This window comes from Homo sapiens, chromosome 12, assembly GCF_000001405.40.
Source record: "Homo sapiens chromosome 12, GRCh38.p14 Primary Assembly".
Classification (NCBI taxonomy): Eukaryota; Metazoa; Chordata; class Mammalia; order Primates; family Hominidae; genus Homo; species Homo sapiens.
In genome coordinates, this window is record NC_000012.12 from 28,228,108 (window position 1) to 28,242,364 (window position 14,257).

Below are 14,257 nucleotides of genomic sequence, written 5' to 3' on the forward strand. Positions count from 1 at the left end.
TAGTTATTCTCCCACCATAGGTACCTTATCATTCAACAATTCCGCATTATTTGTGGTATTTTTGGTTTGCCATACTATGTGCTTTATAAACCTGTCCTTTTGGCTATGTCTTTGCCAGGAATGTGCTTATCTTTTTTGACGAACAGGAAAACTGGCTTTTACTTATTCATAGTATTTAACTTAGATATCCTCACCCATGAAGAGTAAATTACTATCTTTCTCAGTTGTTGCATAGATATATTGTGTACTATATATACGTTTGCAAGTCTGTCTTTCTATTAAACTGTGATATCCAAGGACATAAGGACTTAATTTAATTCATTGTATGATTCCTAGCACTTAGTATTTTCACTCTGTTAACATTTGTTGCATAGATTACCTCACGAATACAGAATTCTTATCGATGGTAACCAGGCTTCTGCTTGAACCCTTCTAATAGTGGGAAATTTATAGTTGGAGAGCCAGTGATTACTTGTGGACAGACCTAAATTTTAGAAAGTTATTTTCATACAGGTTTGAAATCTGCCTACCTTTAACTTTCATTTGTCTGTTCTCTGGACCCATAAAGAGTTAGTCTCTGCATTCAGCATTTTCAAGTATTTGGGTACCAAGTATGTGTTAAGCACATTTCAGAAGTCTCTTGGTTGGAAATGAAAGAAAGCTGAAACATGTTAGGTTAAAAGAAATAAATTTGCTCTTTAACTTTGATTGTCTCCAGACTTTTTGATTGTTCACCTCTACCAAGAATACATTTTTGAGGATACATCCTCAGTGTGGGTATATTTATCTGTACATTTTGTACATATATGATTATAACAATACATTATGTACATTATAAAACACAGAGTATGGCACTTTTCAAAGGATAGTACAACATAAAAGTATCTTATTTTATGTATTGTAGTCTTTTCTTCTTACATTCTGGTGGATTGTCTTACACATCCCTCTTCTCAGGGAGGTGTATACATACCATTTTAAAGGCCACCTATATATGTAATCAAACTGTATTATGGGCAGTGTTGGAGCTGGTCTTAGAGATGACTGTAGATAGCTCTGGGGGTTCTACTTTTTTCATTGCTGCTGCTGCTTTTTTTTTTTTTAAATGGCTTTACTCTTTCAGACTGGCTTCTTTCTGGAGCTAGGATCATGGCTGCTGCTGGCTTTGGGCTAATTTCTTCATAGCTTTTATTGATTTATTCAACAAATTATGAATGGAGTGCATATCCTGAGCCAGATACTATTCTAGGTGTTAGAAATACAGCAGAGAGCATAAAAAAGAAGAATATTAAAGTGGTAAGTGCTATGCAGAGAATTAAAATAGAGTGATGTGACAGTAATTAAGTGACTACTTTAGGAAAGCCTTTGTCTAGAAGAGACATTAAAGCTGAGATACGAATCAGAAGAAATAGCTAGCCATGTAAACATCAGGAGGAAGAGCATTCCAGGGACTGGCTAAGGCAAGATTTCTAAAATGGGACTGAACTTTTGCATGTTTGAGGAAGTAAGAGAAGGCAGTTGAGTTTAGAACTTAGTAGAAAAGGAGAGTTTTGTGATCAGAGAGAAACAGAGCTTTTCTTCTTCCATCTCTAGTTGGAAACATCCCAGGGAAGGACTCTGATGGATCCAGCTTGAGTCAGTTTCCTATCCCTAAGACTGATTATTAATGATGGGGACATATTTTGGTTTTTTTAGCTCACGTTGGACTAATTGTCTGTGTTTGTGGCTAGAAGAAGGTTTGGAGGAAGGGTTTTGGGTTGACAAAATTAAGAGATGCTACTTATTATGGACCTTGTGAGCCAAGAGCTTTTCATTATATCAGCTAAGAGTTCTGTCTTACCCTATTTGAAGATACCTGTTCTTTATCTTTGTTGACTTTTTATCAAGGCTAAACTTTTCATTATTCATTCTTCTCAGAAATGATTCTTTAACCACAAGTATTACTTTAACATTGCATTGTACTTCTGAGGGTGAGAGATGGAAAGAGAAGATGGAAATCTCAGTGTATTTTGGGAATATATCCTTTCCATTCCCTTAATGTCCATTTATGTATAAAGGATATGTGTAATCTGGGGTCATTCTGTACTTCATTGCCTAAGGCAGGGAAATTGGCCAATGTATTTTTGATAGTGCTTCTTAAATTAAGTTGAAAACTCAATCCTCCATATATTCTGGGTAAGCAAGTTTTGGGGGGCATATTTTTGCTTCTTGGCTTTTGGTAGTATTAAAAGCTTTGATAACTTTGGTAGTGATGTTTGCATGGTTTGAATTATGTGCAGCAGTGAGTGGACATAATATTAAATAGTGGTATTTACTAGTAGGAGCAAAACTGAGTACTAAATTTCAATGTTTCTGAAATGGTGTGGTTGCAATAGGTCAATAGCTACATGCATATTTCTTGAAGTCACTGGAAATAGGTGCCTACACAGAAGCATGAGGCTAATTTCTACAAATAATTGAATATGAGATATACTGTTATTAAACTGTAATAATTATGTATTTGATTTTTTTTAAAGAAATTATGCTTTTTGTTTTTTGGAGACAGGGTCTGGGTCTATCACCCAGGCTGGAGTGCAGTGGTGTGATCATGGCTCACTGCAGCCTCCACCTTCTGGACTCAAGTGATCCTCCTGCAACAGCATCCAAGTAACTGGGACTACAGGTGTGTACTACCAGGCCCAGCTACATTTTGTATTTTTTTGTAGTGATGGGGTTTCACCATATTGCCCAGGCTGGTCTCGAACTCCTGGACTCAAGTGATCTGCCTGCCTCCACATCCCAAAGTGCTGGGATTATAGGCATGAGCCACTGTACCTGGCCTTTATGCCATTATTTAATTTACAGTGTTCAAGCTAGGTTAGCTTTTACATTATAAAGCCAGATCTCTTACATTAGAGTATCAAGGTGAGCCTTCTGTGTTTGAGTGTTTAATTTAGATGTGAAATGTTTGATAGGACACTATACTAGAGGCTCTAAGAAATAGAGCTCTGTGGTGAATTTCTTTTCTTTACTATTACAGATTTCTAATGATACTTTTCTATGTTGTAATTTTGGGTTTGTACATGTGGGTTGTGAGAAATAAACTGGAAATCCTGTCTCTGTGGGTTGGAATCTGGTGTGGCTTCAAAAGGCAAACAAAATATTCTAGCATTTACATGCCAGGTAAATTTTTTAAATGGACTTTCCATAGGTTCCAAACTTCTGGGGCCAAATAATATAAAGTAATATTGTAGTTGCAGACAGACTTCTGTTGGCATACATTTGGTTTCTTAATTTATGATGGGACATCAATAGCTGATTAAGCAAACAACTAAAGAAATATCTTTGTACATCCTTAGTACAGCTTGTTCCTGTTCATTTGTGACAAGTTGTTTGGGAAAGAGTTTTGAGATGGCATGCTAAGACTTGATTTCCTAAAAGTCTAGTGGGTTTTCTTTGTATTTTAAAAGTGAAGAGTGTATTTCAGGATTGAGAATTTTCTGCTTTTTATAAAAGACTTTATAATTGGGTAATTTTAGATTTTTAACTGTACTTAAATGAAGATGCACATGTTTTTACCCCCTCCTTTCTTCTATTAATAATTTATTAGATAATTTTAAGAAAGGAATATTGTAGTATTATGGTGGCCAGATTTAGAAAGGTCTAGGTGAATTTACTGTCTTTCAGTTCACTTTATTCTTGTTTATATGAGTGGCTGGAGATATCACATATAATTTGAAGTTTACATCTGGTTTTATGTTAAGTGAATCTGATTCAGGCACAGCTATCTTCAATGGTGATTTTCCCAGCTGTAAATTAGGAACTTGGCATTGAACACTATGTGGTTTTGTGTAAGCAGAATTTAGATTGTGATATTTTCTGTCGCTTCATAATTCTAATTTTAGACTTTCAAAGTAGGATAATTCACTCCAGAAAGTCTGAAATCTGTGATTTTCCATACACTGCCAGGTACATTGATGTCAGTGGTTTGAATCAAACTGAATATCCTTTATAAAAAATATGGTGGATCATTTTATATATCTACCTGTAGAATTGTGACCATGGGTTTTCTGTTTTTTTATTTATAAAAATGTAGGAGATTCTTTTTATTTGCATTTGAAAATTTCTTGGAAACACATAATACAGTGATATTTATGGAATTTTCCTGCAGTGGTAGTAAATGTGAAGAGTGAGGGATAAGTTTAGAGCACAAGCCTCTTACTGGTCTTTTGCTTTACTTAAAAATTTTTTTTTTCACTTTTCTAATTACTTGTCTGAATTGCACAGGGTTTCAGTTTGAATATTGCAGGTACCATGAAGTCTTTTCTTGTAGCTATTATGTACTTGTGTGATGCCATCAACTAGATTATAAGTGCCTTGAGCATAGGGGTTACTATAAATTCATCTTTGTATTCTATTGTACTTAGCTTCTCACATAACAACTAATATAGGATAAGTATAATGAGTTTGTTGAATTAAATTAGATTGATCTGAATTAGAGGGGAGGAATTAGACAATAGAAAAACAGGGATGAACTTAGAGAAGCTAAGTTTTGTGGTCATTTGAGATACCTTGTTAATTTAGTTTTAAGTAATCAAGAGTGGTGATGTTTTATTCATCTTTAAAACTGTTATGACTGAACGGTCAGAAATGATGGTATGTCTTGTTCTGTTACCAACTAGCAATTTATGTTTCAGTAAACTGCTCTATGTGATAATTCTTGTGTTAAAAATACCATTACTCAAAAATTAGCTGGGCGTGTTGGTGCATGCCTGTAATCCCAGCTACTCAGAAGGCTGAGGCAGGAGAATCACTTGAACCCAGGAGGCAGAGGTTGCAGTGAGCTGAGATTGCACTCCAGCCTGGGCAACAGAGCAAGACTCTATCTCCAAAAAAAAAAAAAAAAAAATATCATTACTGGTTTTTGTTTCAGGGGATACATCTCATGAATTAACTGATTTCCTAAGTCTTTTTTTTCCCCAACCCTCCATTAAAAAAATTAATGTGTAATTTACATATATCACAAAATGTACAGATAGAGGGTGTATCGTGTGCTGAGTTCTGATAAATATATACCTGTGTAACAATACTCCAGTCAAGATACAAACATTTCGATCTCCTCAGAGAATTCCCTCATTCCCCTTGTAGTCTATCTTTCTCCATACCATTCTCCCCCAACCCCTGGTGTCTACTCTTCTGATTTCTGTTACATATATTAGTTTTGCCTATTCTTGAACTTCATATAGATGAAATTTTATAACATGTATTCTCTATTACTGGCTTAATTTATCCAACATGTTTTTGATATTTATTATATTTGTGAAGCCTTTTTGAATAGTGTAGTGAAAAATGTTAGAGAACATCTCCTTGTTATTGGTGAGAAAATTTCTGTGAATGTTAATATTTAATTCAGAGATTAAAGAAGAATCTATGTAAAGTGACAATACCTACAATATCCTTTTTTGACCCAAATAGGAAGTAGTTCTTTTGATACTTTGAATATTGAATATTGGAATAGCTTTGTGAATACAAGGTCCAGTTTAATCTGGAAATTAAAATCTTCATTTATTTATTTTGTTAGCATAAGTCAATTTTGTCCTAATTATTGAACCCTGACTTCTCTGAGAAGATCATCTTTCAGGTTTGGGAGGAAGAAACTCTATTCTTACTTAGTTTTTAAACTCACATTTTTTTTTTCGTATTGTTAGATAAGGTTATATAGACATGAGCCTCTGTTACTTTAACAGTGCTTTTGAAACAGCTAACAGTTCATTCTGGGATATAAGTCAAATATGTATTGCTTAACTCTTGGTATCATCTTTATTTTTTCAAAATTGTAAAATACCGGTAAAATTGATCATCTTTACCATTTTAAAGTGTACAGTTCAGTGGCATTAAGTAAATTACATTGTTGTGCTGCCATCACTATCATGCATCCACAGAACTCATCTTGCAAAATGGAAACTTCATCATTATTTCTTAATTTAAAAAGCATTTTTCAAAAAGGGATTATAATATTAGCTCCTTTATCCATTTAAATTGGTCCCATAATTAAGTTTATAAAAATATTTTTGGCTAAAATGGATAGTCATGAAAATGATATGTACATGCTTTATAACATATTTGTAGTGTAGCCTTTTGGTATTAGACCCAAATCTTTTCTATGAACACAGGTCTCCTTATTGGAATTTATTGTAAATTTTTCTTAAATCACACCTTTAAATATCCTCTTTAATTTCTAAGTGTAGTGAGACAGTTGCAAAATAGTCTCAGTGGAGATTGTCCTAAATTTTTATAGTCTTGTACTTGACAGAATTTTTTTAAAAAGCAAGTGGTCCTTATCAAACTGTTACAAATAGTCAACTTTTTCATGGAAACAACTACTTCTGCTGCTATCTTACAGATTTTTAAAGATATTTAGTGAAATTATACATTAATAGACATAACCCAGATAAAAATGTTTGGAAACAAAAATAACTGTTTCTTGATAGTATACAGTTCAGCTAATGGGAGCATGAGTGCTAGGTCTTGTCTTATTAACCACTACCCCTTCCTTCACACTGTGAGAATCAAAGGTAATGGAGAGCATTGGTTAACATCATGACACATGAATTTGTTATGTGGCAGATAATGCAAAGAACTTGTAGCATGGATAGTAAGTTGATAATTTGAAAGTTTTTTTTTTTTTTAAAGTTTCAGTATCTTACAGCTACCAATTGTCAGTCTTCTTTTCTATTGTTATAAATAGGGAGTTTGTTCATACTGTAAAATAAAATTACAGTTTTTGTTTGTTATTTATTGCTGTTTAACAAGCTACCCCAAACTTAGCAGCTTAAACAACTGTGTCAATTTGCTCATGATTTTGTGAGTCAGGAATTTGAGAATGATTTTGCTGGTCTTTGCATAACTGGCAGAGTGCAAGTTTGATTAGGTGTTTTCTGTCTTCATGTGCTCTCTCCACATGGCTAGTTTGGGCTTCTTTACAGCATGGTAGTCTCAGCATAGTCAAATTTCTTATATGGAGGGTCGTTTTCTCCAGAGTTAAGTATTCATAAGACAGGAAGTGGAAGGTGCCTATTTCTTAAGGCCTGGGCCCAGAAAATGGCACATATCTCACCCATGCTACTGGTCAAAGATACCACAAAGCTCACCCACATTCAAGGGGAGGAGACATAGACTGCTTCTCTGTAGAAGGCACACCAAATAATTTGTGGCCTTTTAAAATCTGCCAAAGGTTTAAATGGTGTATATAATTAATGGCATTCTTATTTTTAAAATCCTGAGAATATTTCTGGTGGATGTCAATGTTAAAGACTATGGAGGAACACATAGGTCTACATTTAACTGATTCAAATTATAAATGAGTATGAAACAACTAGAGAGAGTAAAACTGACAAAGGATAGAATGCTGGGCACAACTTCATTATAATAAGGACTACTGTAAAGTTTCTATTTATTAATCCAACTCTTGTTCTCCCACCATTAGGTTTCAGTTAATGCCGCATAGCATTAAAAAAAAAAAAAGACGAGGAAAATGAAGCTCAGTAATGTGTATAGATGAATTTGAGTTACAATCTTCTGGCATGCTGCAAATCCCATTTGGATTCCTGGTAACAGACATTTTAGACTACAGTATGAGATAATTTTGTTGAGTGGACTAGGTCTGAGTATCATGTTTGAGAAGGCAGCATTTAAAATGAATTTGACATTTATAAGTATTTTTTTTTTTGGTACTTAAGCTGTGCGTAGTGTTATTTTTGTGTATGAGGAGGTAAATTTTACCTTGGATTGTTAAATATAGTGTCTTATATCATCTGTAATCATAAAGGACAGATTTTCTCAGTAACATTTTGTCAGTGACACAATTTTTCATGACCAGTGAATGCTAGCTGAAGAAACTGAAAATTTTCTGAAATTGTCAGTATAAATCATTTATTTCAGTAGACCTTGCTATGCTTTGCTGTTGGAAGTAAATATAACTTTTCCTAAGATTAGTCAAAATTCACTGAGTTTGTGTCATGCTTTGTTAGATGCTGAGAATAGATCAAAGTTTGATCTCTATATTTTATTTAATTGATATCAAATGAACATAATTAATGATGATGTTGAATTTTTTTTAATACAAGTATGAAAATGCCCTTTCTCTTTGTGATTGTTTGGTACTAGTCATTAACTTTGTTCCCATTTTGTATAAATATTATGTATTAGAAGTTAGAGGCAGTTTTCTGTGAAGAGTATTTCTACTTGATTTTATGTTATTTGATAAATAGATGTTTTGAATAGCAGCATAAAATTAAATGTATAAATTTAATATTATTGCTGTATTGTAATCTTTTTCTGTTTAATTTTTTGGCTTGCATTATTTTAGTCGAGTAAAGTATTTTGTATCTGTTATTTTTATGGTAATATATCTTTTCTTCATATAAAATAAAATTTGAGACCTCTGCATCCAAAATACTAAATATAAAAGTTTATAAATTATATTAAAATATGTCTCAGATTATATAGAGTGATGCGTAGTCATTGTTACCTTCAAATTAGCCACTTGGTGAAATATGTCACTTTTTAGTCGCTAGACTATGTTTGAAAGCTGTAAAATACTGGCGAGCCACAATTTAGGACCACGTAAAATGTGAAAATCGGGTTTATGGAAACAGATTAGAATTTATTTTCATTATGGAATGTTTTGTTTCAAAGTTTGTTGAAAAAATATATTTTGATGTATAATAAAGGTATATAGTATGATGTTTGTGAGATTATTTTTCAATAGTTTAAAAATACTTTTTTATTTTATGTAACAATATAATGGTACATTTCAAGTAAAGAATTTGTTCAAATCTCTATCTCCCTTACAAAGCTAATGATTTTATGTCCCCCTTTAATCTGTTTTATTTGAATATAGTAGGGACTCTTTTTAGAGACTTCTTTTATAGAAAATTGTAGGTAGAAGTGTATACAAGTAAGGTAGTGTATGCTAATGAAAATGGAAAATAGATCACTAAAATTTTGTTTGTGTATCTCATATTATATTGTAAGTGATTTAATTATTTTCTTTGATTTTCATGCAACTCTAAATATATCCCTCACTAATAGTTATGTTTAATTTCTCCCATCCATTTATGTTAATACATACATACATGTGTATTACACATACACACACACACACACACACACACACACACATTTTTTAAAAAAAGTTGTTGTAGGCAGAATAATGTCCTTCAAAGATATTAGGTCTTAGGAACCTGTAAGTGTTACCTTGTGTGGAAAAGGGTTTTTGAAGATATGGTTAAGTTAAGGGTCTTGAGATGGAGAGATTATTCTAGATTATCTGTGCGGGTCCTAAATACTATCACAAGTGTCCTCATAAGAGATAAACAGAGGCATAATCTACAGACATACAGCAGAGAAGACAGTGTGAAGATAGAGTAGAAAGAGATTTGAAGATACTAGCCTTGAACATTAGAGTGATGAGGCTACAAACCAAGGAATACCAGCAGCTATCAGAAGCTGGAACAGGCAGGGCATGGATTCTCCCCTAGAGCCTCCAGAGGGAGCCAGCCTTCCCAACTCTTTGATTTCAGCCCAGTTTGAACTTCTGGCCTCCAGAATTGTGAGAGAATAAATATCTGTTGTTTTCAGCCACCAAGTTTTGGTAATTTGTGACAGCAGCCACAGGAAACTATTATGTGTGAATATACATTTTTGAAATCACTGAAATATTTAATCATAGAATAGGAAGGGATCCCCGTCTTAATTGACCGGCTCCTCTCTTCCTTTGACTTGAACATATTCACATGTGGACTTCTCTACTCTTTTTACTATTATTACATCCTTATACATTGGGTCACAGCTTTAATATCAGCTCCACAGATGAGCCCTCTTTTACTAATTAATTCTTAATTTTTTCCCTATATCAATCCCTTTTTTGTTTTCTGTATCATTCATCATGTACATTCTTGGGGCGAGGAAAATCTTAACCCCCATTGTAAGTCTACAACCTATAAAGAAAGATATATTTGTATGAAACTTAACACATGAATGGAAAGATATACCACACAAACAATTGGTAAAAATATGTACAGTGCAGAGAAAGGACAGAGTTGATATCTGTTCTATATAATAACTTCTTAGATAATGACAAAAAGGAAACAAACAGCACTATATGAAAATGAGCAAAAGATATGAAGAAGCCAGTCCAAATGGCCAACAACATATTAAAAGATGTTCTAACTTACTAGTGTGATATATAACCTTGTATCTATCATACTGCCTCCTTCAGCCCCCACCTTTAATGAAAAGAAAGAGAAAGAGAGAAAAGAACCAGCAATAACATTGTATTGGCAAGAACCTAAGGAAAGAATTAGTTTTTATATTTTGCTGGTAGAAATGTGAGTTACTAGAGCCTTTGTAGACAGTGATCTGATAATATCTATTAAAATTAAAAAAATATATTTATACCAGTTGACCGTGCAGTCTTACTCTTTGAAATCTAGCTCATAGAAACACACTTCCATATATAAGCATTTCTGTATGAGCATTTGTTTCTAGTGGCAAAAACTGGAAATGCAATTTATGTCTATCAGTAGGGGAATTGTGAATGTATTTATTATGTATCTACATAATATATCTACATAATAGAATCTTAGTAGTCATTAAAAAGAATGAATCAGATATGCACCAGTAAACTTGGTGGGATTTGCATGGGGAATTATTACATGAGAACAACTAAGATAATTAAAAATGTGTGTGGCAGCCAGGCACAGTGGCTCATGCCTGTAATCCCAGCACTTTGGGAGGTCAAGATGGGCAGATCACCTGAGGTCAGAAGTTCGAGATCATCCTGGCCAAAATGGTGAAACCCCATCTCTACAAAAGTACAAAGATTAGCTGGGCATGATGGTGGGTATCTGTAATCCCAGCTACTCGGGAAGGCTGGGGTGGGAGAATTGCTTGAACCCAGGAGGCGGAGGTTGCAGTGAGCTGAGATCACACCATTGCACTCCAGCCTGGGTGACAGAGCGAGACTCTGTCTCGGAAAAAAAAAAAAAATATATGTGGCATCTTAAATTAAAAAATGTAGTGATAACACCATTATATATGTAGACATATATATGAGAATACATATTTTTATATGTATGAGAATAGAGGTATATAGTAGATGGTTAACTTGGACCATTTTAATGGGCAAATGGATGGAGCTGTCATGTTGTGGGAGGGAAGTTGGAGAGGGTATTTGAGGTAGGGAAACATGACTACTAATTTATGCTTTAAAGTTAAAATTAACATTTATGTGTTTATGTATAAAGATTTTTTAAAAATTGCATGTGATGGCATTAATTAGTATAGCTCCTGTGGAAAGTGATGCAGTAAACCCTGTCAAGCAGTGTTCATACTCTTTGAGCTAATCATTCTATATCTGGGAGTTCATATTAAGGTATTAAATTAAAAGAAGAAAAATGTTAATGTGTGAAGTCATCATTGTGCTATTAACTATGTAATATGGAATATTATATGCTAGGAAATATAATAAAGTGTATCCAACATAAACTCATGCTGAAACTTCCTCTTTTTGGACTTTACATCCAGAAAAATTGTTGTCATATTGATGGGATGTAACACACAGGTAAATAATACAATTATGAAGGGTACAATGATAAAGGCTGTTACTTAGAACTATAGACTATATAATAAATGAAAAAGAACTTATAATTGCATGTAGAATTAAAATATATATGTATTTATTTGAGTACTAGAAGGAGATAAGATAAAATGAAAACAGTGTGGGGGGATTATAGTAAATTGTTTTTATCTTGTTTTGACAAATCTGGAGAACAGTGTTGCTCAAATATTAGCAAAATTTAGAAGAAACACTAAAATTTAATATCCAGCTCTTGTAACTGTGGAATATATTTTCTTTATAATAAAACAATTTTGTAATTTTGCATAGGCATTGGCAGAATGTTTAAATTTGGAATCAGATTGGTATTTCTGTCAATACTTACTCTGAAAGCTGCAGTGTCATCATGAGTTATTAAAGATAAATCTTTGGTTTCATGTGCCATATTTCTTACTAGGAGTAAAACTAGGTCTAAGTCCATTTTACGCTTTCTAATAGTTTCCTTTTATCTGTTGATTCCCTCTTATGCATGTTTTCTACCGTTTTCACTGTATTCTTGTATTAATCACAGTTTTTAAAAAGTTTTTGTCTTAATGCTTTAACGAATAGATTATCTCTTGGTCTAGTTTTATTGATTACTTCTTGACTTTTTTTTCCTTTTTGTTTATCTCACAATTTTTGTCACCCACTGTAAAAAACTGAGATAAATTATATTTATTCTCTGAAATGGGAACACCTATTCTTCTGTCAGGTCATTGGTTTGTGTTTCTAAAATATACTAAACTAATGTGTTATGAAGCTAAGGCAGATAGGTGATAAATTTGTAAAGCAATTGAAGGAAAAACTCAGTAAGTCAAAACACATTTTAAAAGAGACACGTTTAAAGTTTTTTTTATATAAATGGAATCGTGCATTATGTGACCTTTTGGGATTGGCTTTTTTTTTTCACTCAGTGTAATACCTTTGAAATCTCTCCAACTTGCATGTATCGGTAGTTCTTTCCTTTTTATAGCTGATAAGTATTACAGTGGTAGAGATGTGGCACAGTTTGTTTAACCATTCACCTATTTTAGGACATTTTGGTTGTTTCCAGTTTTTGGCTATTACAAACAAAGCTATGAACAATCATGTACTGATTTTTGTGTGGACATAAGTTTTCATTTTCCTGGGATAAATACCTAGGAGTACAATTGCTTGCCCTTATAGGAGGTATATATTTAATTCTTAAAGAAACTGAACAACTGTTTTCCCAAGTGATCATACTGTTTTACATTCCCACCAGAAAAAGTGGATCTTTCAAACCACAAATGTTTGAAAGAGCCACTTTCTCCACATCCTTGCCAGCATTTGGTATTGTCATTACTTTTTATTTTTGCTAGTCTGGTAGGTATGTGGTGGTGTCTCATTGTGGCCTTAATTTCCATTTCTCTAAAGATTGGTGATGTTTAACATCTTTTTATTTGCTTAGTTGCTATCCCCTTTGTATATCTTCTTTGGTGAATGTCTCTATCTTTTGTCTATTGAAAAGAACATGCTTTCTTTTCATATGTGCATGGAACCTTCACCAGAATAAACCATATCCTTGGTCATAAAACAAATTTCAGTAAATTGAGAAGCATTTCCTGTTCTTTTTTCCTGAAAAAGTTTGTGTAGAATTTGTGTACTATCTACTGACTCCTGGTATTTGTCTGGTTTCAGAGGGTGGGAGGGTTTTCTGCCTTTCCCCCAAGTGGCAGCTTGCAGTTTTGCTTTGTATGAAGAATAGTTCTAGGATATGAGTAGCTAATCATTTCCTTCATTCCTGTACCATAAGAAAAACTCTCTCAGGTAATCTAATCTGTCCTCATCTTTCTCTAGAGTTCTCGATGCGCATTTGGGTTGTTTGTGGGGTTTACTATTGCAAACAGTGTTACCATGAATATTCTTGTGCAAGACTTTTGGTATCCGTGTGTGAGAGTTTCTCTAGGGCATGTTACTAGAAGAGGAATTTCTCAAAGTATACCTGTGTTCTTGCGGGGCGTGGTGGCTCACACCTGTAATCCCAGCACTTGGGAGGCTGAGGCAGGCAGATCACCTGAGGTCAGGAGTTCAAAATCAGCCTGGCCAACATGGCAAAACCCTGTCTCTACTAAAATTACAAAAATTAGCTGAGTGTGGTGGTGGGCACCTGTAATCCCAGCTACTTGGGAGGTTGAGGCAGGAGAATTGCTGGAATCCAGGAGGCGGAGGTTGCAGTGTGCTGATATAGCGCCATTACACTCCAGCGTGGGCGACAGACCGAGACTCCTTCTCAAAAAAAAAAAAAAAAAAAAACGAAACAAAAAAAACTCATATTAGGACTGATCACCTTGTTATCATATAAAGTTGTTATAATATACTGTCATATTAAATATACTGTCATATTTTTCTTCTAATTTTGTCTTGAGGTCTCTCAAGTGGCTGTAAACTCTAGCCCTGCCCTGAGGGGGTGCCAGGGGATTTGGTCATATGATGCTTATAATGGGCCTTTCACAGGATACTTCTTTATCCCTGTGGACAGCCTAAGTGTTTGACATGTGACCCAGATGTCCTTCTCATTACAAACAAAGAAGCTTGTTTATACTGGCAGGTGCCCTTTTGGCGCTTGCCTGACTTGTGTCCAGTTTATTCTTAACAAGTTAG

General features: G+C 34.0%; 1 protein-coding gene across 34 annotated transcripts in view, besides 1 other annotated feature; it reads left to right on the forward strand.

Annotated features, from left to right (window-relative positions):
• CCDC91 (coiled-coil domain containing 91) overlaps positions 1-14,257 on the forward strand; it is a 359,711-nt gene that overhangs the window by 37,652 nt on the left and 307,802 nt on the right. The window lies entirely within an intron of this gene.
• Positions 1,580-1,749: an enhancer, noted in NCBI's record as "experimental_27355 CRE fragment used in MPRA reporter constructs". NCBI's record gives its function as "activates a minimal promoter by MPRAs in K562 erythroleukemia cells, with activity observed for both the introgressed and non-introgressed 12:28382705 variant alleles {active_cell/tissue: K562}" and the evidence as "EXISTENCE:reporter gene assay evidence [ECO:0000049][PMID:34662402]".